At 41.6% G+C, this 26,959-nt stretch overlaps 1 protein-coding gene and 1 pseudogene across 3 annotated transcripts in view; one reads left to right on the top strand and one right to left on the bottom strand.

Annotated features, from left to right (window-relative positions):
* The window catches only part of DDX46 (DEAD-box helicase 46), a 72,343-nt gene that overhangs the window by 6,698 nt on the left and 38,686 nt on the right, over positions 1-26,959 (bottom strand). For 2 of the 3 annotated variants that reach the window (NR_125341.2, NM_001300860.2), the window contains exons 16-21: positions 16,483-16,676; positions 13,066-13,203; positions 12,579-12,728; positions 7,818-7,994; positions 6,710-6,928; positions 5,420-5,564 (exon numbers count right to left, since the gene is read on the bottom strand). Coding sequence is in view for 2 of the 3 variants with exons in the window: in NM_001300860.2 (NP_001287789.1) it covers positions 5,420-5,564; positions 6,710-6,928; positions 7,818-7,994; positions 12,579-12,728; positions 13,066-13,203; positions 16,483-16,676 (1,023 nt within the window). In the remaining variant the exon portion in view is untranslated. The remainder of the gene's footprint in view (positions 1-5,419; positions 5,565-6,709; positions 6,929-7,817; positions 7,995-12,578; positions 12,729-13,065; positions 13,204-16,482; positions 16,677-26,959) is intronic. The other variant, NM_014829.4, reaches the window with a different exon arrangement.
* RPL34P13 (ribosomal protein L34 pseudogene 13) lies at positions 19,256-19,682 on the top strand (annotated as a pseudogene).

Genomic DNA, 26,959 nt, shown 5'->3' with positions numbered 1-26,959 from the left:
AGACGGGGTTTCACTATGTTGGCCAGGCTGGTCTCAAACTCTTGACCTTGTGATCCGCCCGCTTCGGCCTCCCAAAGTGCTGGGATTACAGGCGTGAGCCACCGCGCCCGGCCATTATCATTATATTTCTAGATTATTCTTAAGATTTGCTTCAACAAAGTTGCTTTTTTACTGAGGAGACTTGCTTAGATTATTATAAAAATTAGACGTTATTTCCTGAGTGTAAATTGACAGTGGAGACAAATGACCAGAACCATTCTGGATGAAAGGAAAACTACATCGGAGCTGTGGAATCAGTGAATATCTCACTTCACATCACTTGGTAGTAGAGATGTGTTCTGATAAAGTTATACATAAATTGAAATTTGATATATCAATTATACCATACTAAGCAAACACTGCATTTAAATTAATAAATGAATTACGAAAAGAATTCTTTTTCAAAGCAAATAATCATGTCTCTCACTTACCTCTTTATAAGGCAAGCAGTTAAAATATTAATTTTGCTTAAATGATACCCATGTATTCAAGCAGAAAATAAAATCCTGACTCCATGTACACCAAAGGTTTTATTGCCACATTCCTCTATCATTGTCTTCAGCCTGTATGATCTAATTAACACAGTAGCAAAGACCTGTCCAGTTCCAACTACAGAAACACATCAGCTTAAGTTTTCTCTGCTTGAAGACCCAGGGGTCAGCAATCCCCATTTCACTATGTAATAAGAAACAGTGTCACCTGAGTTAGAAACATACTGGGTCATTGGCAGACCAAAAGTATTTCAGGATACACAAAAGCATGCCATTTTTAAACCTGACTTCAAATAGATCTAAGTCAGTTTCTCATAGTCACAAACATGAAGAAAAAAGTGTAGTTTGCCTAGTTCTGGCCACACATCCTTTGTATGCCATTTAAAAATATGTATGAAACTTACCATGACTCAATGGTAGAGTGGGAAAAACACGGAAAACATAACAGCTGTATTTGCCGGGCGTGGTGGCTCTCGCCTGTAATCCCAACACTTTGGGAGGCCAAGGCAGGAGGATCACGAGGTCAGGAGATCGAGACCATCCTGGCCAACAATGGTGAAACCCCATCTCTACTAAAAATACAAAAATTAGCTGGGTATGGTGGCATGTTCCTATAATCCCAGCTACTTGGGAGGCTGCCAGGAGGCAGAGGTTTTAGTGAGCCAAGATTGCACCATTGCACTCCAGCCTGGCGACAGAGCGAGACTCCATGTCAAAAAAAAAAAAAAAAAAAAAAGATGAAATTAAGAAATTCTCAGATAAACAAAACCTGAGTTAGTTGCTAGTATACCTGCCCTACAAGAAATACAAAAGGAAATCCTCCAGACTGAAGTGAAAGAACCCTAGATTACTTGAATGAGGAAACAAAGAATACTCATAGCTACATACGTAAATATAAAAGTCAGTATTATTTTTAGTTTGTAGCTTCTCTTTATTTCCTGTATGATTTAAAAATTACATAAAATAATTATGAATCTATGTTGAAGAATACAGAATGTATGAAGATGTACAGGTCTGGGCCCAGCATGGTGGCTCACGTTTGTAATCCCATCACTTTGGGAGGCTGAGGCAGGAGGATCACTTGAGCCCAGGAGTTCAAGAACAGTCTGGGCAACATAGTGAAAACCCATCTCTACAAAAAATACAAAAATTTAGCTGGACATAGTGGCATACACCTGTGGTCCCAGCTAAATGGGGGGCTGAGGTGGGAGGCTTGCTTGAGCTGTGACTGGGTCATTGCACTCCAGGACAGGTGACAGAACAAGACTCTGTCTCAAAAAAAGATGAGTAGGTTTGGGAGGCCGATGTGGGAGTACAAGAGAAGCCAGGAGTTCAAGACAAGCCTAGACTGTAACATAGCAAGACCCTGTCTCTAGAAAAAAAAATTTTTTTCATTAGCCAGGCATGGTGGCACAGGCCTGTGGTCCTAGCTGTTCAGGAGGCTAAGGATAGAGGATCACTTGAACCCTGGAGTTTGAAGCTACAGTAAACTATAATCTCACCTTTGCACTCCAGCCTGAGTGACAGATCAAGACCCTGTCTCTTAGAAAAACATATACAGGAATTTTGTGTCAATAACAACAAAAAAATAGATGGGACTGTATAGGAGCAAAATTTTTGTATAGTATTAAAACTAAGTTGGCATTAATTGAACTACGTTGTTATGAATTAAGATATTAATTGCAATCCACTGAGTAACCGCTAAGAAAATACCTGGCTGGGCACGGTGGCCCAGGCCTGTAATCCCTGCACTTTGGGAGGCTGAGGTAGGCAGTTCACCTGAGGTCAGGAGTTCAAGAACAGCCTGGCCAACGTGGTGAAACTCCATCTCTACTAAAAATAAAATTAGCCAGGCATGCATCTGTAATCCCAGCTACTAGGGAGGCCAAGGGAGAACTCCTTGAACCTGGGAGGTGGAGGTTGCAGTGAGACGAGACAGCACCATTGCACTCCAGCCTGGGCAACAGAGTGAGACTCCATCTCAAAAAAAAAAAAAACAAAAAAAAACCTAAAAATACATATAGCAAAAGAAAGAAGTAGGCCGGGCGTGGTGGCTCCTGCCTGTAATCCCAGCACTTTGGGAGGCCAAGGCAGGCAGATCATGAGGTCAGGAGATTGAGACCATCCTGGCCAACATGGTGAAACCCCATGTCTACTAAAAATACAAAAAGTAGCTGGGCATGGTGGTGCTTGCCTGTAGTCCCAGCTACTCGGGAGGCTGAGGCAATAGAACCGCTTAAGCCTGGGAGGCAGAGGTTGCAGTGAGCCAAAATTGCGCCGTTGCAGTGAGCCGAAATTGCGCCGCTGCATTCCAGCCTGGTGACAGAGCTAGACTCCCTCTCAAAAAAAAAAAAAAACAAAAAACCCAGAAACAAGAGCAAATCAAAATGGCACACAAGAAAATATTGCTTTAACACGGTGGGGCACAGTGGCTCATGCCTGTAATCCCAACACTTTGGGAGGCAGAGGCAGGTGGATCACCTGAGGTCAGGAGTTTGACAACAGCCTGACCAACATGGTGAAACCTCATCCCTACTAAAAATACAAAAATTGGCCGGGCGCAGTGGCTCACGCCTGTAATCCCAGCACTTTGGGAGGCCGAGGCGGGCGGATCACAAGGTCAGGAGATCGAGACCATCCTGGCTAACATGGTGAAATCCTGTCTCTACTAAAAATACAAAAAAAAAAATTAGCCGGGCATGGTGGTGGGCGCCTGTAGTCCCAGCTGCTTGGGAGGCTGAGGCAGGAGAATGGCGTGAACCCGGGAGGCGGAGCTGGCAGTGAGCCGAGATTGCGCCACTGCACTCTAGCCTGGGCAACAGAGCAAGACTCTCTCTCACAAAAAAAAAAAAAACGAAAATTAGCTAGGTGTGGCGGGGGGGCACCTGTAATCCTAGCTTCTCAGGAGGCTGAGGCACGAGAATTACTTGAACCCAGGAGGTGGGAGTTGCAGTGAGTCGAGATTGTGCCACTGCACTCCAGCCTAGATGACACAGTGGGACTTTGTCTCAAAAAAAAAAAAAAAAAAAGAAAAGAAAAGAAAAGATTACTCTAACACAAAAAAGGCAGTTAACGGAGATCTTTTATAATGCAGGCATTTACAGCTAGAAATTTCTCTCTAAGCACTGCTTTCACTGAATCCTGTTTAAGTTTCACGAAGGTACTGAGGACTGAACTGTACATTTTTAATGGTTAAAATGGACAAACTTTTGTTACATGAATTTTACCTCAATGTAAGTCCTAAATAGCAAAAGACTGCTACAGATTTTAAAAATAGTTCCAAATGGAGACAGTACAATCAAGAAGTAAGAGGTCTAGCCTGGCCAACATGGTGAAACCCCAACTCTACCCAAAAATACAAAAATTAGCCAGGTATGGTAGCACATGCCTGTGGTCCCAGCTACCCAGGAGGCTGAGGCACAAGAATCGCGTGAAACCTGAAGGCGGAGGTTGCAGTAAGCCAAGATCGTGCCATTGCACTCCAGCCTGGGCGATAGAGTGCTAAACCCTGTACTGACTACAATGCTATGGTGTCAAGGAAATGAAGCCAGAACAGATGGTGCTATTATCTAGCAGTCTAGTTCTGTCTTGCTTCCATTTCACATAATGTCAGAAAACAAAAACAAAAACCACTTAAAATACCAATAACAAAGATGTTAAATATAAATAAAGTGGGCTGGGCGCGGTGGCTCATGCCTGTAATCCCAGCACTTTGGGAGACCAAGGCGGGTGGACCATGAGGTCAGGAGTTTGAGACCAGCCAGGCCAGCATGGTGAAACCCCGTCTCTACTAAAAATACAAAAATGAGCCAGGCATGGTGGTGCATGCCTGTAATCCCAGCTACTTGGGAGGCTGAGGCAGGAGAACTGCTTGAACCCGGGAGGTGGAGGTTGCAGTGAGTCAAGATCGCGCTATTGCACTCCAGCTCTGGGCAACAGAGCAAGACTCCATCTCGGGGAAAAAAGCAAAACAAAACAAAACAAAAATCAAAAACATAAATAAAGTGTGACAGGGTGTCCTACTATGCAGTAGAGTAACACATCAGAAAAAACAAAATAGGCTGGGCACATTGGCTCATGCCTGCAATCCTAGCACTTTGGGAGGCTGAGTGGGGGCGGGTCCCTTGAGCTGAGGAGTTGGAGACCAGCCTGGGCACCAAAACACAACCTTGTCTCTACAAAAAGACAAAAAAAAAAAAGTCAGGTGTGGTGGCATGTTCCTGTAGTCCCAGCTACTTGGGGGTGTTGAGGTGGGAGGATCACTTGAGCCCAGGAGGTTGAGGCAACAGTGAGCTGATATTGCGCCACTGCACTCCAGCCAGACAAAATAAGACCCTGTCTCAAAATAAATAAAGATGGAAATTGCCTCTGGAATGAATTCATTCATGAATGTATGAAATAAAGTTAAAAACCAAACCTGATTGCTGTTACATAATGTATTATTTATATCCGTTAGGTTGTGGCATTGTCTACTTCTTATTTTGTTAAAGGCATAAACTTTCATGGGGATAATTTCACAGGCAATATTTGCCTAGATAAACATTCATTAAGTGGACTAATACACTTGATTTACTTTCCAACCTAAACTTAGGCCAGAATATTCCACTTACTAGAAGCATAAACAGGTCAGTCCTTAAAATGTAAGTTTTCTTTTAATTTTCAAATTTGACTAAATTGCCAAAACTGAGTCTCGGAAACAGATCATTTACCTTTGCATATGTACTGAAATTCTTATATATAAAGACCTCAAATGTCATAAGATTTTGTTTTCAGAGGTGTTTCTTACTTTCAGTTCTCTCTAGAATTGACCTCACATGCTCTTTGCGTTTATTACATCTACATCAACCTTGATCTAAATTCAAGATTGAAACAGAACTAACAGTACATACTTTCAATTGCCAAGTAAATCTTCCGCTCGCCTTCCTTGGGTTCTTTGCCAGGAGGGAAGTAGGTTCCTCTGATTGTAATTGCGGCTTCAGAGTATTCACTGATTCTCTGCAGAGCTTCCTTAGAGGTAACTTTCCACCTAGCAGTCTAAAAGAAAAGGTAAGGAAAAGAAAAATCACTTCATAACAGGACAAAAAAATCCAGGAGTGCTGACAAAGACTAGGCTGGCTGATATCATATTATGGTTGGTCTCTCTCTCTCTCTCTCTCTCCATATATATATATTCTTTTTTTTTTTTCTTTTGAGACGGAGTTTTCGCTCTTTTTGCCCAGGCTGGAATACAATGGTGCAATCTTGGCTCACCGCAACCTCCGCCTCCCAGGTTCAAGCGATTCTCCTCCCTCAGCCTCCCGAGTAGCTGGGATTACAGGCATGCGCCACCATGCCCAGCTTATTTTTGTATTTTTAGTAGAGACGGGGTTTCACCATGTTGGTCAGGCTGGTCTCGACCTCCCGACCTCAGGTGATTCACCCACCTTAGTCTCCCAAAGTGCTGGGATTCCAGGCGTGAGCCACCTCACCGGGCCCTATGGTCAATATTGAGATCATTATTGGCCGGGCGTGATGGCTCACACCTGTAATTCCAGCACTTTGGGAGGCTAAGGTGGGCGGATCACCTGAGGTTGGGAGTTCGAGACCAGCCTGACCAACATGGAGAAACCCCGTCTCTACTAAAAATAGAAAAATTAGCCAGGCTTGGTGGTGCATGCCTGTAATCCCAGCACTTTGGGAGGCCGAGGCGGGCAGATGACCTGAGGTCGGGAGTTCGAGACCAGACTGAACAACATGGTGAAGCCCTGTCTCTACTAAAAATACTAAAAATACAAAAATAAGCTGGGCATGGTGGCGCATGCCTGTAATCCCAGCTACTCGCGAGGCTGAGGGAGGAGAATCGCTTGAACCCGGGAGGCGGAGGTTGAGGTGAGTCGAGATCGCACCATTGTACCCCAGCCTAGGCGATAAGAGCAAAAGTCTGTCTCAAAAAAAAAAAAAAACAACAAACAAGCAAAGAAAACAAAGATCATTATTAATACATACCTGCATCATAAGTTCATTTAGATCCTAATGTACCTTGAACATACTCATAAAAATCAAATTTCTATTGTTATATCCTCCATTTAGGTAAAGAGTGAAGGAGCTATTAAAATGTTCATGGGTTTTAAAGATGAGATTTTTCCTCCAAAGAAGAGTTGCTACTTCACAATAAAAAAAGGTTTAAACCTGTTACTTGCCTGTGGGAAGTCATTGATCTCTAATTCTTCTTCATATCTCTTAAAAGATTCATTCTGTCCACCATCCTGTCTCTCTTCTTCTTGTTTCTCTAACGGCACATAATTGAGCTTGGCATTGATCTTTTCAGCAAGTTGTTCTGCAATGGTTTTTGCAGAAACAGTGGGAGCCAGAATGGTGCCACCCCTAAGAATTGCATTGGTGGCCTGCTGCATCACATCCTGTAGTTAAAGAAGACTTAGTTAAATCTCAAATGAGGGCAGAGACAAGAGTAGGGACCACACCACAAATTATTCTCTGAAAAGCTACTAACTTTGTATGCAAGTTTAATAAATAAACCTTTCTAATGCATAGTCTCATTGATATGTGTGATTTAGCAATATATATTTATAATGTAGTTTAATGTACCTCCTAGTGGATAAGAAAACTGGAGAACATTCAACTCTATTAAATATTCTACTAGATCATAGAGATGTAGTTGATAATTAGCTAACTCTTGATGTCAGACACAGTAAATATTTCGAAAATCATTTGCATACTCTAATTCCTAGGAGTCTCCTCCGAATTTGAATGTTTGTACTACTACCATCACTGAGCTCCTTCATCTCTATGACCCAACCCAACATTACAAACGTTATAGTTAATGACTGCCTCAAAAGCTTCAAAATAACAAGTAAGCTTCCAAGAAAAAGATAACGTGAAATATTTAAAAATCACATTTCTCCACTGTTTAAGACCATATTGATTTGAGTCATGTAACTGGGTGTTTGTATATCCAGGGAGTTGTGTGCCCAATAAAAGCAGATAAAGAAAGAAAAAGAGAATTATTAATACATCTTTAAGATTTTGTTAAGACTCATCAGAATACTACCCTATAAAACTACCAGTGGCTAACAGTTAGAAATTCCAGAATAGGCCCAAAGTCCTCAGTCAATAGCACTGAGAAATCATCCAAATGCAATTATCAAAAAATTCTGTATTGAGAATGTTAAATTCTCACAAACTCAATGTCTAGGACAACTTGTTTACTTGTGTTCAACATAATTCCTGAAAAGTAAAATCAAAGAACTTCTTAAAAGTATTGACTGAGACTTGGAACAAATTACTTAATACCTGAGACTCGATGCCCAAATTCTTCTGGGCATTGATTCTAAGAGCCAATCTCTTAGCAATTTCTAATTTCTCAGCATTTCCTGCAGTTGGAGCAGGAACACTTGATGTTCCAGGAGCAGCCATATCCTTTACTCTCTTCTTTGAATTAAACATGCTTTCAATTTGCTCATCAATCTAGATCAAAAGGAAAAAAAGGACTAGTAAAAAACTGAATTAGAAATACCAAATTAAGTTATTCTACAGAAATAAATAAGGAATGTTTCCACCAAAAGGCTGGAATCAGATAGTTATATTTACACAAATCCTACTACACAGATCCATGGGAAAATATACCACCTATTTGTTAAAAGTCACATTTCATTTAAAAAATCAGTTGTCTATGGTAGGGAGAAAAATAGAAAACAGAGAAACAACATTGCATGAACCACGTCATCAGACTCCTGAGAGGACCAGAAACTTCATCCCTGTTCAATAAATGAGGAAACATGTGCTTTCAAGACAGAATAGCCAATAGGATGCAGCTGACTTACCCCAGGGCTCAGGCCTTGAGACCAAATTATACTGCAATGAAACAGGCTGGAAGAAGGACTATAACTCAAGGTCAGTGGCCTACTAAAAATATAGTCAATAATTCTCAGGGGGAGTGATATAACATGTTCCTAAGGTAAAGCTCTCAAAACTCTTCCCAACCCATAAAATCCAATTGGATTTGCCTTAAAAACTGGGTAACTGAACCAGAAAAGGCTTATTCCCTTATTCCTTTGAATCAAGAAAGGAAACAAATGCAGGTTGTTTCCCCATCAAGGCAAGCGCAATGATGAATGCTTTGCTTTGACAGGAGTCACATGAGCCCTACTGCTAGGTGCATTTCTTTTTTTTTTTTTTTTTTTTTTTTTTGAGACAGAGTCTCGCTCTGTCTCCCAGGCTGGAGTGCAATGGCGCCATCTCAGCTCACTGCAAGATCCGCCTCCCAGGTTCACGCCATTCTTCTGCCTCAGCCTCCTGAGTAGCTGGGACTACAGGTGCCCGCCACCACACCTGGCTAATTTTTTGTATTTTTAGTTGAGATGGGGTTTCACCGTGTTAGGCAGGATGGTCTCATCTCCTGACCTCGTGATCCGCCCACCTTGGCCTCCCAAAGCACTGGGATTACAGGCATGAGCCACCACCGCCAGCCTGCTATGTGCATTTCTTTTAAAAAATGCCCTTTGCCCAACAGTGACTACTGATATCACTGATTACAGAAATACAAGCCCCCTTCAGAAATTTAGATCAGATTAATAAAGCTGTATCTTCTAGATCTCAAATGCACAGAAAAGCTTATTTAGGGCTTAAAAATTAATTGGTTAATTTACAAAGCTCTTTTACTACAATAAAAACAGTCCGTTTAGCTTTTGTATTTTTTTGAGACAGGGTCGCCTTTAACTCCCAGGCTCAAGGGTTCCTCATATCTCGGCCTCCCAAGTAGCTAGGACCACAGCGTGCACTAGCACGTCCAGCTAATTTTTAAAAACCTTTTTATAGAGATGGGGTCTCACTGTGTTGTCTAGGAGGGTCTTGAACTCCTGGGCTCAAGCTATCCTCCCACCATGGCCTTCCAAAGTGTTGGGATTACAGGCCATGAGCCACCACACCCAGCCTTAGATTCTTCTTAAAACATTTATTACCTATTAAAGGGTTTTAGTTATGGCCACGCACAGTGGCTCCTGCCTATAATCCCAGCATTTTGAGAGTTCAAGGCAGGAGGATTACTTGAGCCCAGGAGTTCAAGACCAGCCTGGGCAACATGGCGAAACCTTGTCTCTACAAAAAATATAAAAGTTACCCAGGCATGGTGGCACATGCCTGTAGTCCCAGATATTCAGAAGGCTGAGGTGGGGAATCACCTGAGCCCAGGAGGTCGAGGCTACAGTGAGCCAAGATCACGCCACTTTACTCCAGCCTGGTTGATGGAGTGAGATCCTGTCTCATAAAAACAAAACAAAACAAAACCCCAAGAAAACACCAACAGGGGGTCAGTTATCAACTAGTTTTAAAACTCAACATTTACCTGAGTAAAACCGTTTTAAATTAAATAGCATTCATGGTATTACAATCTGAACAAATTCATAAAATCAGGAAAGGGGGAAGTATACAATGCTAGCTGGTAGAGCTAACCTTACTTTTGATTTTATTCGTGTTAAGTACTGTTTACATTTTTCATAAAATTATATATTACTTTAACACCCGAAGAAACAATCACCGTATTTTATCACAAGATTTTAAAAAACAGTTAAAAATACTGCAGTTTTCCCTTTACACATGGAATACATTCCAAGAACCCCAGTGAATGCCTAAAAACAGAGATAGTACCGCACCGACATACACTGTTTTTTCCTATACATACATACCTATGATAAAGTTTAATTTATAAATTAGGTACAGTTAAGAGATTAACAACAATAAAATAGGACAATTATAGCAATATACTGTAATAAAAGTTATATGAATGTGGTCTCAAAATACTGTAATAGTTTCAGACTGTGGTTAACCTATGGCAACTAAAACCACAGAAAAGAGGAAACTACCATAATGTCAAAAAGTGACAGATGTTTTTAAAACATGGCTACAAATTATTTAATAGTCTTTTTTCTTGAGTGTGGGCTGGACTTAATGACTTCCTTCTAATAGAAGAAAGTGGGCTGGGCATGGTGGCTCATGTTTGTAATACCATCACTTTGGGAGGCTGAGGCAGGAGGATCACTTGAGCCCAGGAATTTCAGACCAACCTAGGCAACACAGTGAGACCTCGACTCTAAAAAAAAAAACATTTTAAAATATATATTAACAGGGCATGGTGGTGCACCCATAGTACCAGCTACTCAAGAGGCTGAGGTGGGAAGATCGCTGAGGCAGCAGTGAGTTGAGTTCGCACCACTACACTCCAGTTTGGGCAACAGAGTCAGACTCTGTTTCCAAAACAAAACAAAACAAGACAAAAAAAACCCCATAAAGAATAAAGTGGAAGTGACAGTGTGTAATTTCAGAGACAGTCATAAAAAGCACTAAAGCTTTCTCTTTGCTCTCTTTGATCACTCACTGTGGGGAAAGCCAGCTGCCATGTGGGTAAGGACAGGCAAAGAGGTGAAGAACTGAGGCATCCTATCTACATCAAAGTGACTGATGTTGGAAGCAGATCATCCAGCAACAGTCAAGCCTGCAGATGACTGCAATCTCACGAGCGCCTAAGCCAGAACTACCTGACTAAACTGCTCCTGATTTCCTGACCATAAGGAACTATGTGATAATAAGTGTTTATTGCTTTAACCTGCTAAGTTTTGATTTGTTACATGGTAACAGATAAATTTAAAAAATGAAATGTGGTCGGGCGTGGTGGCTCACGCCTGTAATCTGAGCACTTTGGGAGGCCGAGGCAGGCGGATCACGAAGTCAAGAGATCAAGATCATCCTGGCCAACATGGTGAAACCCTGTCTCTAGTAAAAATACAAAAAAAATTAGCCAAGCATGGTGGCGCGTGCCTGTCGTTCCAGTTACTTGGGAGTCTGAGGCAGGAGAACCACTTGAACCTGAGAGGCAGAGGTTGCAGTGAGCCAAGATCAAGCCACTGCACTCCAGCCTGGTGACAGAGCGAGACTCCGTCTCAAAAAAAAAAAAATGACTTTATTGGCCAGGCACAGTGGCTCACACCTATAATCCCAACACTATGGGAGGCCAAGGCAGGTGGATCACCTGAGGTCAGGAGTTTGAGACCAACCTGGCCAATATGGTGAAACCCCATCTCTACTAAAAATACAAAAATCAGCCGGGCGTGGTGGTGGGTGCCTGTAATCCCAGCTACTAGGGAGGCTGAAACAGGAAAATCGCTTGAACCCAGGAGGCAGAGGTTGCAGTTGAGCTGAGATTACGACACTGCAGTCTGGCCTGGGTGACAGAGCAAGACACGCCCGGCTAATTTTTTGAGCTAGTATGGTATCCTAGAAAGAAATGGCTTAAGGTTAATAGGACAACTGGGTTCTGGTCCTGTCTGTGTTAACTCCCACTGTGGTCCTGGACCTAACATCTTTTCTTGGAGTCAATTTCCTAATGATAAGATCAGGTTGAATTTCTGATTTCCAAAATTATTTTCTGAACTTAAGTTTAACATGATATGTCCAAAAGTGTTCTGAGATCAGGTATGTTGGGGAATTTCTGGGTTTAATGAAGTTAAACAAGATTCGTTAAAGACTTTTCACATCCATGGCCAGACGAGGTGGCTCACGCCTGTAATCCCAGCACTTTGGGAGGCCAAGGAAAGCGGATCACTTGAGGTCAGGAATCTGAGACCAGCCTGGGCAAGAAGGTTAAACCCCGCCTCAACTAAAAATACAAAAATTAGCCAGGCGTGGTGGTGGATGCCTGTAATCCCAGCTACTCAGGAGGCCAAGGCAGGAGAATTGCTTGAACCCAGGAGGCGGAGGTTACAGTGAATGGAGACCACGCCACCGTACTCCAGCCTGGGTGACACAGCCAGACTCCCATCGCAAAAAAAAAAAAAAAAAAAAAAGGACTTTTCACATCCTTTGAAGTGCTAATGAGTGGTCTATATATTGAGAGGAGGGGTACTGGTATGTAGTAGGCAGATTTTCCAAAACTGTTCTGGAACCAACCTCTTGTAAAGGTTTCCAGTGATTGTCTATCTTGATAACCATATATGGCAAGACCTCCAGTACAAAAGAAATAACTGCTTCAATTAAGAATGAGAGAATAATAGTACTTACATCAACTGCAGCATCCTCATCATCTGAATCTTGTAGACCAAGAGCTGCTTTTTGTAACTTCTTCCTCTCATTAGCCAAAGCTTGTTCTGTTTCATCAAACTTGAATCCCTTACCAGAGAACCCACTACTCTTTTTAATTATTTTCCCCTCCTTTCAAAAAAAGAAAACGAAGTTAATCTCATAGTAAAAACTTTAATGTTTAGGAATTCATACTAATTAAATATTTTTCAAGGTGGTGTATGTCAATGTAATAAAAACACTTCATCTAGCATGTAAGATAAACTAAGAGCTCTACATAGACACCACAAAATACTAAGTTCAAGAATAAGATAGGATTTTAGCTTTCACTCATTTTTCCCTCTAGAGAGAAATAAAAATAGTCGTAGCAAAATTTTCAAGTGTTAAATAAAAGATTTCCAAGAATTAAATAATCAAGGTTTAGTCACATTAATGATTTCTAGAAGAGTAACATGGGTTAAAAACTCACAGCTTTCTGCTGATCTTTGAAATCACTCCACAGTTTCTCTAAATCAGGAGGTACTGCAGTCCCTGACAATTCAAGAGCTTTAATTATGTCACCAGCATAGCGAGCTTGATCCTCTGTGATAAAAGTATAAGCATAACCCTAATGCATGATGAAAAAGTACAATTATTAGACACTAACAAGATGGATCCTACTTAGATCATAAGATAAAATCTGATCCACCTAATAAATCCTCGAGATTGACAACATTAACTAAAGAATTTTAAAAGCCACGAAAGAGTCTTACTAAATTACTTAATGGTTCAAAGTGAAATATCCAAGTTTAATTTTTATTTTTTGTTGTTTTTTATTTTTTTGAGATGGAGTCTCACTCTGTTGCCCAGGCTGGAGTGCAGTGGCGCAGTTTTGGCTCATTGCAACCTCTGCCTCCCGGGTTCAAGTGATTCTCCTGCCTCAGCCTCCCGAGTAACTGGGATTATAGGCGCCTGCCACTATGCCCGGCTAATTTTTGTATTTTCACTAGAGACATGGTTTCACCATGTCGGCCAGGCTGGTCTCAAATTCCTGACCTCAGGTGATCCGCCCGCCTTGGCCTCCCAAAGTGCTGGGATTACAGGCACGAGCCACTGTGCCCGGCCCAAGTTTAATATTTTAAAATAACACAAGCAAACTAGAAAATTTCTAATTTCTTTACACAGAGGTAGAAATATATGCAATTGGCTGGACGCAGTGGCTCACGCCTGTAATCCCAGCACTTTGGGAGGCCAAGGGGGGGTGGATCATTTGAGGTCAGAAGGTCGAGACCAGCCTGACCAACATGGTGAAACCCCATCTCTACTAAAAACACAAAAAAATTAGCCGAGTGTGGTGGTGGCATGCCTGTGATCCCAACTACTTGGGAGGCTGATGCAGGAGAATCACTTGATCCTGGGAGACGGAGGTTGCAGTGCATGTGAGATGGCGCCAATGCACTCCAGTCTGGGTGACAAGAGTGAAACTCCGTCTCAAAAAAAAAAAAGAAACATAGGTAATTTTACACAAATGCACAATTGTGTGGTCATACCTTTTGATTTTGTTTTTTGTTTTTCCTTTTTTTTTTTGAGATGGAGTCTCGCTAGAGTTTGCTATCTTCACAAAACAATCTGACCTTGCTGGGTACAATGGCTCACACCTGTAATCCCAGCACTTGGGGAGGCAGAGGTGGAAAGATAGCTTGAGCCTAGGAGTTGGAGGCCAGCCTGGGCAAAAATGGCAAGACCACATCTCCACAAAAATGTAAAAAACAAAACCAAAAAAACAATCTGACCCAAACAGTCAACTGTTGCGATTTTTTGTTTGTTTGTTTCTGAGACAAGAGTTTTGCTCCTGCTGCCCAGGCTGGAGTGCAATGGCACAATCTTGGTTCATCGCAACCTCTGCCTCCCGGGTTCAAGCTATTCTCCTGCCTCAGCCTCCCGAGTAGCTCGGATTACAGGCATATGCCACCATGCCCGGCTAATTTTTTATTTTTATTTTAGTAGAAACAGGGTTTCTCCATGTTGGTCAGGCTGGTCTTGAACTCCCAACCTCAGGTGATCCGCCCGCCTCGGCCTCCCAAAGTGCTGGGATTACAGGCGTGAGCCACCGCGCCCGGCCAACTGTTACGAATTTTAAAACATGGTTTAAGATTTTAATTCAGAAATATCTTGGCCGGGTGCAGTGGCTCATGCCTGTAATCCCAGTATTTTGAGAGGCCAAGGCGGGCAGATCACGAGGTCAGGAGATCGAGACCATCCTGGCTAACACAGGTTTTAGTAGAAACCCCGTCTCTACTAAAAATACAAAAAATTAGCCAGGCGTGGTGGCACACGCCTGTAGTCCCAGCTACTTGGGACACTGAGGCAGGAGAATCGTTTGAACCTGGGAGGGAGAGGTTGCAGTGAGCCAAGATCATGCCACTGCACTCCAGTCTGGGCAACAGAGCGAGACTCCATCTCAAAAAAACAAAAACAAAAACAGAAATATCTAAATAGCCACTGCCTTTGACCCATGGTCTGCTTTTGTACTCCTACGGGGCTACAAGTATTTACATTTTTATAGGGTTATGAACATATATACAATAACACATATATATACAGAGAAGGAGAGAGAAAGAGAAGAATATGTGACAGAGCCCAAATAGGCTACAATTTTCAGTACATGGCCCTTTCCAAAAAAATATTCTTGACTCCTTCCAACAGGTTAGAAGAATAAATGCCATTACTACTTATTAAATGTGCATAAGCAGGTGAGCTAAATCCTATGTGCATGAATTTTTCTCATCTATAAAATAGAGTAATATTATTTACCTCAAAGGAAAGTTTTAAGGATAAAATGACATTACATATGTAAAACACTTAAATCGTTTTAAGGATAAAATGACATTATATATGTAAGGATAAAATAACATTATATATGTAAAACAGTTAAAATGACATTATATATGGCAGATAATACGTTATCCATTAATGTAAGCTATGGCATATAAATACTACTTATTGCTTTATTATGCAATGTACAGGGTTAGAAAATTAAATATATCATAATCAATGTCTCCAACAACAGACTAGTCTGCTGCCTCTAGAAGGAATGAGTTAGACCCATACAGTTTCTAGAATACAGGTGAGTCAAAAAAGCAAGTAACATATGTATGTATGAATGATAGGGAGGTAAAGAGGGGAGTAGGAGAAATTGGTAGGTGTGGAGATGGGTATATTTTATGATCCCATGTTTTTTTTTAAAAAAAGATCCTGAAGTATAAACATTTATGTGTATGTGTATACAGATGGTCCCCGACTTACAATGATTCAATTTATAATTTTTCAACTTTACCATGGTGCAAAAGTGATATGCATTCAGTAGAAATTGTACTTTGAGTACCTATACAACCAGTTTTTCACTTCCAGTACAGTATTCAGTAAATTACATGAGATATTCAATACTTTATTATAAAATAGGCTTTGTGTTAGATGATGATGCCCAAGTATAACCTAATGTAAGTGTTCTGAGCATGCTAAAGGTAGGCTAGGCTACTATGATGTTTAGTACGTCAGGTATATTAAATGCATTTTCAACTTACGATGGGTTTATCGGGACATTGTAACCCCATCATAAATCAAGGAACATCTGTATAGAAACGTTTAGGCATGAGGGGAAAAACCTAAAAGGGAAGACAAACTGTTAACAGGATCTGCCTACAAAGAGCAGCTAGGTATCTGATAATTTGAACAACACTTAGACCTGTACATGTATATAAATTATTAACATCAACCACTCTTCACATTATGTGGATTAAAGATTTTCAAAATGTCTCCATAACTCCTATTATCTACTCCTTGAAATACTAAAGAAACACCTGTATTTTAATATAATGAAGATCAACTATAAAAAACTTATTTTTACCTTGTTTCCTGCTCTTCCAGTCCGCCCTGCTCTGTGTACATAATCCTCATAATGGTTGGGGCAGCTATAATTTACTACAAGAATCAGATGTTTCACATCTAGACCTCGGGCAGCAACAGAGGTAGCCACAAGAAGTTTGCAGGTCCCATTCTTAAAGTCATTTATGATGCTATCTCTGTCATATTGATCAATGCCTGCAAGTAAATTAGAGAGCTTTAAAACATGTTCAAATTAAATTTTCCATGTCTTCTGACCAAGAATCTAAACTCAGTGAAGAACAAATTGACACATCCAACTCCTAAAATATAGAAAATAAAAGACTAAGAAAATGTAATGGCAAGATTAAAGGTTATTGCTATTAACTCATTTATGAATCTTTCAACTCTGGTCTTGTATTGCCCCCTTTCTTCTATATAAGGTTTATATTTGCAAAGGTCCAATATCAGAAATTAATCTAAACCTGTTTGGGAGCCAAAGCGAGAAAAGGCAGAAACATTCAGCCTATATTGACAAGAGTTAGATCTTTCTCCTTTCCCTGTAGGTTATTTAGAGCCTTGCTACTCGGTTTTGTCCAAGGACCAGAGCAGCATCACCTGGGAGCTTGTTAGAAATGCAGAATCTAGGCCAGGTGCGGTGGCTCATGCCTGTAATCCCAGCACTTTGAGAGGCCGAGGCGGGCAGATCATGAGGTCAGGAGTTCGAGACCAGCCTGACCAACATGGTGAAACCCCGTCTCTACTAAAAATACAAAAAAAAAAAAAAAAAAGCCAGGCGTGGTGGCACATGCCTGAACCTGGGAGGCAAAGGTTGCCGTGAGCCGAGATTGCGCCACTGCACTCCAGCCCAGGCGACAGAGCATGACTCTGTCTCGGGGAAAAAAAAAAAAAAGGAAATGCAGAATCTAGGGTTATACTCCAAACTACCGAATCAAAATCTGCATTTTAAAAAACCTTAGGTGATTATCATATGCAAATTAAAGTTTTAGGAATACTGGTTTAGAAGTACCCAAATGGATATCTCTTAAATAAATGATCCAAAGAGGTTTAGTATGAATGGCAAAGCAGAGTATAAAATACCATAAAGTTCTATTACGACATGCCCAGACCACAAAATATTTTATGATGAGGTTCCCAGGAAACTCTGGTAATAGAGAAGGGAATAAGATAAACTCTCAAAACTTAAAACTCATGCTTTCAATGGAAGATTTCACAGAAAATCTGGGTTTAACATACACTGTTTAGCACGTAAATAATTACCAATATTAATTCTTAGTACTACCTAAAATTTTAAAGGTACTCTTCAAGGATTGATTTAAAGGAAGTATTTGAATCATTGTCAAAGAAACTGGAATCTAACACTTCACCAAAAAAATTGCCTAAGAAAATTTAATGAAATCAATATCAATATAAATTTGTTTATAATTTGAAAATACCAAAACTTTTACTTTAGCCTAAAGTATCCTTACTAACATAATCACATAAAATTGATTCCTTAGAATTGAATATAATATGCTAACTGAAGCAGCATATGGGATGTCAACCCAAAAACCATGAACCCCCTTCCTTTTTAAAATAACCCCAATTTTGTTCACATACCAACCCAACACATAGTCAGGTATACATCAAATGAGAGACGGGCCTAATCCCAGTCTCAAAGAGTGAATTGTGCTTGGTGTAAACCAGCCCTTCTCAAACTTTCTGTTTTCAGGATGTCTCTTTTTTTTTTTTTTAAAGACGGAGTTTCACTCATGTTGCCCAGGCTTGTGCAATAGCGTGATCTGGACTCACTGCAACCTTTGCCTCCCAGGTTCAAGCGATTCTCCTGCCTCAGCCTCCCCACTAGCTGGGACTACAGGTGACTGTCACCATGCCTGGCTAATTTTTGTATCTTTAGTAGAGACAGGGTTTCACCATGTTGGCCAGGCTGGTCTTGAACTCCTGACCTTGGGTGATCCGCCCACCTCCCAAAGTGCTGAAATTACAGGCATGAGCCACCAGGCCTGGCCTTTAGGATGTCTTTATATCTTAAAATCAATAAGAACCCGCACCCAAAGAGCTTTAGTTTAGGTCTTGTCTATCAATACTTAATGTATTAGAAATTAGAACAGAGAGGCTGGGGGCAAGGCTCACGCCTGTAATCCCAGCACTTTCGGAGGCCGAGGCAGGAGGATCACCTGAGGTCAGGAGTTTGAGACCAGCCTGGTCAACATGGTGAAACCCTGTCTCTTCTAAAAATACAAAAAAAAATTAACCAGGCATGGTGGCAGCCACCGGTAATCCCAGCTACTCAGAAGGCTGAAGCAGGAGAATTGCTTGAACCTGGGAGGTGGAAATTGCCGTGAGCCAAGATCATGCCACTGCACTCCAGCCTGGATAACAAGAGTAAAACTCTGTCTCAAAAAAAAAAAAAGAAAAGAAAAGAAATCAGAACTGAGGAAATTTTTAAATACTGGATTTGTTTAAAAATACAGTTCCTCAGCCAGAAGCGGTGGCTCATGCCTGTAATTCCAGCACTTTGGGAGGCCGAGGCGGGCGGATTACAAGCTCAGGATTTCAAGACCAGCCTAGTGAACATGGTGAAACTCCGTCTCTACTAAAAATACAAAATTTAGCCAGGCGTGGTGGCAGGCGCCTATAGACCCAGCGACTCAGGAAGCTGAGGCAGAATAGCTTGAACCCGGGAGGCAGAGGTTGTAGTGAGCAGAGATCGTGCCACCGCACTCCAGCCTGGGCGACAGAGCAAGACTCCATCTCAAAAAAAAAAAAAAATACAGTTCTTCTTTCAGGGGTGTTATCTAGAGGCACTCAGAATGGTCAAGCATTTGACATACTGCCTGTCATAGGCTTTCTACAATACAGCCTTTAACAAAACTAGGTTGTCTGGAATCCCTGGTAATAGAATTGTTTACCTTTATACCAACAAAGTTGGGAAAGCACCAAAATCTGCAGGTGGCATGTGCCCATGCAGACTTCAAGGGGTTTGTGTTGTGAGATCTAATATTGTTACGTGAATGTCCAAAACAAAAAAAAACATGTCAGCAGAGCCTATGGTGGTTCCATGTGTGTTAAATGTGATCATGACAGGATTAAGCATGCTTTCCTTATCAAGGAACAGAAAATCATGGTGAAAGTGTTGAAGGCACAAGCACAGAGTCAGAGAGCTAAATTTTAAAAATTATTTTTGAATAAAAATTAAAAGACTAAAAAAAATAGCAATGACACGTTAAAATAAAAAGCATATTTTTGTGAAAAATGACTTTTCCGGAACAATAAAATAATTTATTAAGACAAACGGGCCAGCCTGGGCAACATGGAAAAGCCCCCTCTCTACAAAAAATTAGCCTGGTGTGGTGGCACACGCTTGTAGTCCCAACTCCTCGGGTGGCTGAGGTGGGAGGATCACCTGAGCAAAGAGAGGTTCAGGCTACAGTAAGCTGTGATTGTGCCTCTGCACTCCACCTTGGGCGACAGAGTAAAACCCTGTCCCAAAAAAAATAAAAAGACAAATGGCACTGATTTACATTTTTGCCAATCTTTTTCAGGTCTCGCTTAATGGAAGATAATTGGAGTGTCATATCTTCTGTATTTAATCTGTCACAATATACCATGTCATTTAGTCTGTGGCAAACCCTACATACTAGAGAGAAGAGAGAATGAGAAAAAGGCAAATAACATCATTGGATTATTATGAAAATACATATAGCCTCATAAACCTCCTGACATCTCAGGGACTCTCAGAGGTCCTAGGACACACGTCTGTAATTCCAGCGCTTTGGGAGGCCAAAGTGGGCAGATCACCCTGGGCAACATAGCAAAAACCCATCTTTACAAAAAGTACAAAAATAGGCTAGGCATGGTGGCTCATGCCTGCAGTCTCAGCTATTCAGGAAGCTGAGGTGGGAGGACAGCTTGAGCCCTGGAGGTCGAGGATGCAGTAAGCTGTGATCACACCCCTGCACTCCAGCTTGGGAGACAGAGCAAGACAATAAGAAATTGTCTCAAAAAAAAAAAAAAAAAAAAAAAAGAAGAATCATCATCACTTGTCATTCTCTTTGCCTATGAAATGAGGCTTACGCATAGGATATGATACAATTCTGGCCAAAAAGATAAAAGGAGTATTAAAGACAAGTATTACGGGAAACAACTTCCTTACTATATAAAAACACACATTCCCAACAATGTAGGAGAAACCTTACTGGACCAATCCCTCCGGCAGGTAACAACCATGAACTCTGGGCAAAATAAAGAGCAACTACGTAAAGACACCAGAGAGCGACTAACAGCAGCAGAAATGGGAAGAAAGTTGACACTTGGAAGAAAGTATTGCACTGGCACTGGCAAAGTGTAGAGGATTCTATTTACTTACTTATTTATTTCAAACTCTTTGCTTAGGGGCAGGCCGTGCACAGACCAAGCGAGGAAGTCAAAACTTGAACAGAAACTCAGTCTTATAAGAAAAACCACCAGAAAGTGTTCAAAACAAACTCAGGACTGGGAAACAGAGGAGATAAATCCTGAGAAGAATGGAGCAGAAACCCACAACTGTGCGTATATATGCTGCCCAACTATCTGGCTGACCCCTAAGCTACAGATTCATGAGGCAAAAATCTAAGCAGTTGGGATGAAAAAAAAAAATTCAGAGATTTCAGGGCTAGGCTCGGTGGCTCAGACCTGTAATCCCAGTACTTTGGGAGGCCAAGGTGGGTGGATCACCTGAGGTCAGGAGTTCCAGACCAGCCTGGCCAACATGGTGAAACCCCGTCTCTACTAAAAACACAAAAATTAGCTGGGCGTGGTGGCACGCACCTGTCATCCCAGCTACTTGGGAGACTGAGGCAGGAAAATCGCCTGAACCTGGGAGATGGAGGTCCAGTGAGCTGAGATCACGCCACTGCACACAGCCTGGGAGACAGAGCAAGACTCCGTATAAAAAATAATAATAAAATTAAAAAGTAAGAGATTTCAGATGCTGCCCATTAAAGGCAGACAGAGTTTGGATGCTGGGTTCTGCCAAGTTAATGCCCTATTTGGAAACCACACAAAAACAAAAACAAAACACCACTTGACGGGGACATCAGAGAATTGAGAATTTAGAATCTCTACAATGGATCATTCACAAAGTCCAGTATGCAAACAGAAATTACTAGACATACAAAGACAAAACCATAAAACAAAAATCAAGAAAAAAGACAGTCAATAGAGACTGACACCAGTATGACCCAGATGTTAAAATTAACAAAGATTTCAAAGCACATATAATAATTATGATCAAGACTTTTTAAAAATGCTTACAAGGAACGTCTAGAAAATCTAATCAGACAAACAAGAAAATCTAAAAGAGAACATATTTGTAATTTTAGAACTAAAAAAATACAAAAACTGAATTCAAAAATTCACTAGATGGGCTTAACAGAATTTGATAGGCGATGACAAAAAAAAAAAAAACGATAATGTTGACAACAGGGTAAAAGAAATTATCAGGGCCAAACACGGTGGCTCACGCCTGTAACCTCAGCACTTTGGGAGGCCGAGGTGGGTGGATCACCTGATATCAGGAATTCGAGACCAGCCTGACCAACATGATGAAACCCTGTCTCTACTAAAAATACAGTTAGCTGGATGTGGTAGCATACGCCTGTAATCCCAGCTACTCAGGAGGCTGAGGCACAAAAATCACTTGAACCTGGGAGGCGGAGGTTGCGGTGAGCCAAGATAGTGCCATTGCACTTTAGCCTGGGCAACAAGAAGAAAACTCCATCTCAAAAAAAAAAAAAAAAAAAAAAGAAAGAAATTATCCAATTTGATCTACAGAGGGGAAAAAAAAGGTTGAAAAAGACTGAACAAAGCATCAGTGAGACAATATCAAAAAGTCAAACATATACATAACTGAAGTCCCAAAGAGAGAATAAGGCAGGAAAGAAATAACGAAGAATTTCCCAAATTCAGAACAGGACATAAATTTACAGATTCTAGAAGTTAAATGAACCCCACACAGAATAAATACAAATAATACCATCCCTAGATATAGTCACCATATGATGTAGCAATCCCATTTTTTGTTATCCATCCTAGAGAAATGAAAGCTGACATTCACACAAAAACCTTTATTTGAATAATAGCAGCTTTATTCATAATTATAAAAAAAACAACCAACTAAAATGTCCTTAAACAGATGAACAGATACACAAACAGTGATAAATCCATACAATGAATACTACTCAGTAATAAGAAAAAAAGAACTATAAGCCAGGCACCGTGGCTCAGGCTTGAATCCCAATACTCTGGAGCTTAAGGCGGGAGGACTGCTTGAACCCAAGAGTTTGAGATCAGCCTAGGCAACATGGTGAAACCTCATCTCCACAAAAAAATATAAAAAAATTAGTTGGGCATGGTGGCACATTCGTATAGTCCCAACTACTCAAGAGGCTGAGGTGGGAGCATCGCTTGAGCCTGGGAGGTAGACGTTGCAGTGAGCCAAGCTGAGAGAGTGCCACTGTACTCCAGCCTGGGCAACAGAGAAAAGTTGTCTCAAGGAAAAAAATAAATAAATAAACTATGCAAGAACTTGGAACTTGGATGCATATCAAAGTTATTAAGCTGAGTAAAAAAAAGCCAACTGCAAAAAGTTACATACTGTAGGATTCCATTACAAACTTTTTTTTTCATTTGAGACAGGGTCTCACTCTGTCGCCAAGGTGGGAGTACAGTGGCATAATCTCGGCTCACTGAAACCTCCGCCTCCCAGGCTTAAACAATCCTCCCTCCCACCTCAGCCTCCTGAGTAGCTGGGAGGCTAATTTTTTATAGTTTTTAAATTTTTTCATAGAGATGGGGTCTTGCTATGCTGCCCAGACTGGTCTCAAACTCCCAGACTCAAGCAATCTGCCCAACTCGGCCTCCCAAAGTGCTGGGATTACAGGCATGAGTCACTGCACCCGGCCTACAAACGTTCTTAAAAGAATACATGAGGCCAGGTGTGGTGGCTCAGCCTGTAACCCCAGCACTTTGGGAGGCTGAGGCAGGTGGATCACCTGAGGTCAGGAGTGCAAGACTACCCTGACCAACATGACGACAACCCATCTCTACTAAAAATACAAAAATTAGTGAGACGAGGTGGCACATGCCGGTAATCCCAGCTACTTAGGAGGCTGAGGCAGGAGAATCGCTTGAACCCGGGAGGCGGAGGTTGCAGTGAGCCGAGATGGCATCATTGCACTACAGCCTGGGCAACAAGAGCAAAACTCTGCCTCAAAAACAAACAAACAAACAAACAAAAACACACACGAGTGGTTGCCAGCGGTTATGGATAGGGAAAGGTACCTTTATAATTAATTACCTTTATAGGGACACGATGAGGGAGTTTTTTAGGAAGTGATGGAACTGTTCTGCAACCTGATTATGGTATATTCTGCGGGATGTGGCTAAAGCAACCAAAATACTGGAAGCAGCCCCCATCCCCAGTGTCCAACAGAAATGACTAAACTGTGGCATAGTCATATAATAGAATATTATTCAGCAATAAAAGGGGAAGAACTACTGATACATGCAACAACATGGATCAATCTCAAAAGGCATATGCTAAAAGAAACCTTACATAAATAATAATGCATTACATATGATTCCATTTATCTATAACTCTAAGAGGTAAAAAAAACTAATCCATGTTGAAAAAATTTGTTTAAAGTACTTAACTCAGGCCAGGTGCAGGAGCTCACGCCTGTAACCCCAGCACTTTGGAAGGCCGAGGCAGGTGGATCACTTGAGGTCAGGCGTTTGAGACCATCCTGGCCAACATGGTGAAATCCCGTCTCTACTAAAAATACAAAAATTAGCCGGGCATGGCGGTGCATGCCTGTAGTCCCAGCTACCCAGGAGGCTGAGGCAGGAGAATCACTTGAACCTGGGAGGTGGAGGTTGCAGGGAACCTAGATCATGCCACTGCACTCCAGCCTGGGCGACAGAGCGACATTCCATCTAAAAAAAGTAAAAGTGGTTAACTCTGGAGGGGTAGGGACAGAGATAAACTGAGGGAAATTTCTTAGATTTTTTTTGGTTTGTTTTTAAGAGACAGAGTCTCACTATGTTGCCCAGACTGGCCTCGAACTCCTAGACTCAAGCAATCCTTCCACCTCAGTCTCCTGAGTAGCTGGGACTACAGGCATGCAACACTGTGCCCAGATTAGGGTTTTTTTTTTTTTTTTCTTGAGACGGAGTCTCGCTTTTGTCGCCCACACCAGAGTGCAATGGTGCAATCTCTGCTTATGGCAACCTCCACCTCCCAGGATTAAGCGATTCTCCTGCCTCAGCCTCCTGAGTGGCTGGGATTACAGGCACCTGCCACCACGCCTGGCTAATTTTTGTATTTTTAGTAGAGACAAGGTTTCACCATGTTGGCCAGGCTGGTCCCAAACTCATGAGCTCAAGTGATCCACCCGCCTCAACCTCCCAAAGTGCTGGGATTACAGGCGTGAGCCACGGCACCCAGCTTTTTTTTTTTTTTAAATATTCACAAATTTTGCTATAGTCCCAGCTACTTAGGAGGCTGAGGAGGGATGATTGCTTGAGCCCAGAAGTTCAAGACAAGCTGGGCAGCATAGGGAGACTCTGTCTCAGAAAAAAAAAAAAAGTGAAACAAGTTTTGAACTAGTGTTAATGATATGCACATTGACATGAAATGTGATAACCTGATCTCCTATTTATTTGAAATGTGTGAAAAATTAAGAAAAACTGATGTGTGGGTAGACAAAGAATAGTAGCTAAAAAAATCATAAACAAATGTAGTCATCGCTCAGTATCCTCAGGGGATTGGTTCCAGAGCCCCTGGCAGATACCAAAATCCTAGGATGCTCAAGTCCCTTATATAAAATGGCATAGTAAGCCCATATTACCTACATCCTCCCGGAAACTTTAAAAAACTCTAGATTACTTAAAACCACCAATTACAATGTAAATGCTATGTATTAATAGATAGTTTTTATAATGTATTGTTTAGGGAATAATGACAAGAATAGATTTTGTGCATGTTCAGGACGGACAAATTTTTTTCCAAATATTTTCAATCTGCAGTCTATGGACACGAAGGGCTGGCTGTATATACATACAATGGAATATTAGTCAGCCTTACAAAGAAAATCTGACAAATGCTACAACACAGATGAACCTTGAAAGCATTTTGCTAAGTGAAAAAGACCAGTCACAAAAAGACACAATGTATGATTCTACTTATAGGAGGTACCCAGAATAGGCAAATGCATAGAGACAGAAAGCAGAATAGAGGTTATGAGCAACTGCTCAGGGATGGGAAAAGAAACTTGTTACTTAAAATGGTAGTTTCTATTCAGGGTGATTAAAACGTTCTAGAAATAGACAGTAGTGAAGGTTATAGCATTGTGAATATACTTAATGTCACTGAATTATATACAAAAAATGGTACATTCTAAGGCCGGGCGTGGTGGTTCACGCATGTAATCCCAGCACTTTGGGAGGCCAAGGCAAGTGGATTATCTGAGGTCAGGAGCTCAAGAACAGCCTGGCCAACATGGCGTAACCCTGTCTCTACTAAAACACACACAAAAAATTAGTCAGGCATGGTGGCATGCACCTATAGTCCCAGCAACTTGAGAGGCTGAGGCACAAGAACTGCTTGAACCCAGGAGGCGGGAAGCAGAGGTTGCAGTGAGCTGAGATTCACACCACTGCACTCCAGCCTGGGTGACAGAGCAAGACCCTGTCTCAAACAAACAAACAAACAACAACAAAAAAAAAAAAACGGTGGGGGGCGGGGATATTTTATATAGTGAGTATTTACCACACACAAAAAAGTCATTTTCGGGCCGGGCACGGTGGCTCACGCCTGTATTCCCAGGACTTTGGGAGGCTGAGGTGGGCGGATCACCTGAGGTCGGCAGTTCGAGACCAGCCTGACCAACATGGAGAAACTCCGTCTCTACTAAAAATACAAAATTAGCCAGGCATGGTGGTGCATGTCTGTAATCCCAGCTACTGGGGAGGCTGAGGCAGGAGAATCACTTGAACGTGGGAGGCGGAGGTTGCAGTGAGCCAGGATTGCGCCATTGCACTCCAGCCTGGGCAACAAGAGCAAAACTCTGTCTCAAAATAAATAAATAAAAAATCATTTTCAAACATTAAAAGTTAACCAAACACAAATCTTCAAAGCCCCTTTAATTTCATCCCATATGAAGCCTGCTGGAAGTAGACTGTATTTCAAAGATATGTCCTATTCCATATGCTTTTCTGCATGTGGGATGACACTCTCTCAATCAAGAAGTGACACCTATGCCTCCATCCCCTTGAATCTGGGCCAGTGTGGTAACCAACCTATTTGTATATGGCAGAAATGAAAGCTCTGCCAACTCCAGTATCATCCTTAACTGGCTGGGCAGCTTCTTGTTCTTTCCTCTTGGCCAAGCAGCCTCATAGAGAGGCCCACAAGGGCCCATGACCAAGGTCTAACTGAG

The sequence above is a fragment of the Homo sapiens genome, chromosome 5 (genome assembly GCF_000001405.40).
Source record: "Homo sapiens chromosome 5, GRCh38.p14 Primary Assembly".
NCBI lineage: Eukaryota > Metazoa > Chordata > Mammalia > Primates > Hominidae > Homo > Homo sapiens.
Note: the sequence above shows the minus strand (reverse complement) of the source record. Positions and strands in the feature narration are given on the sequence as shown.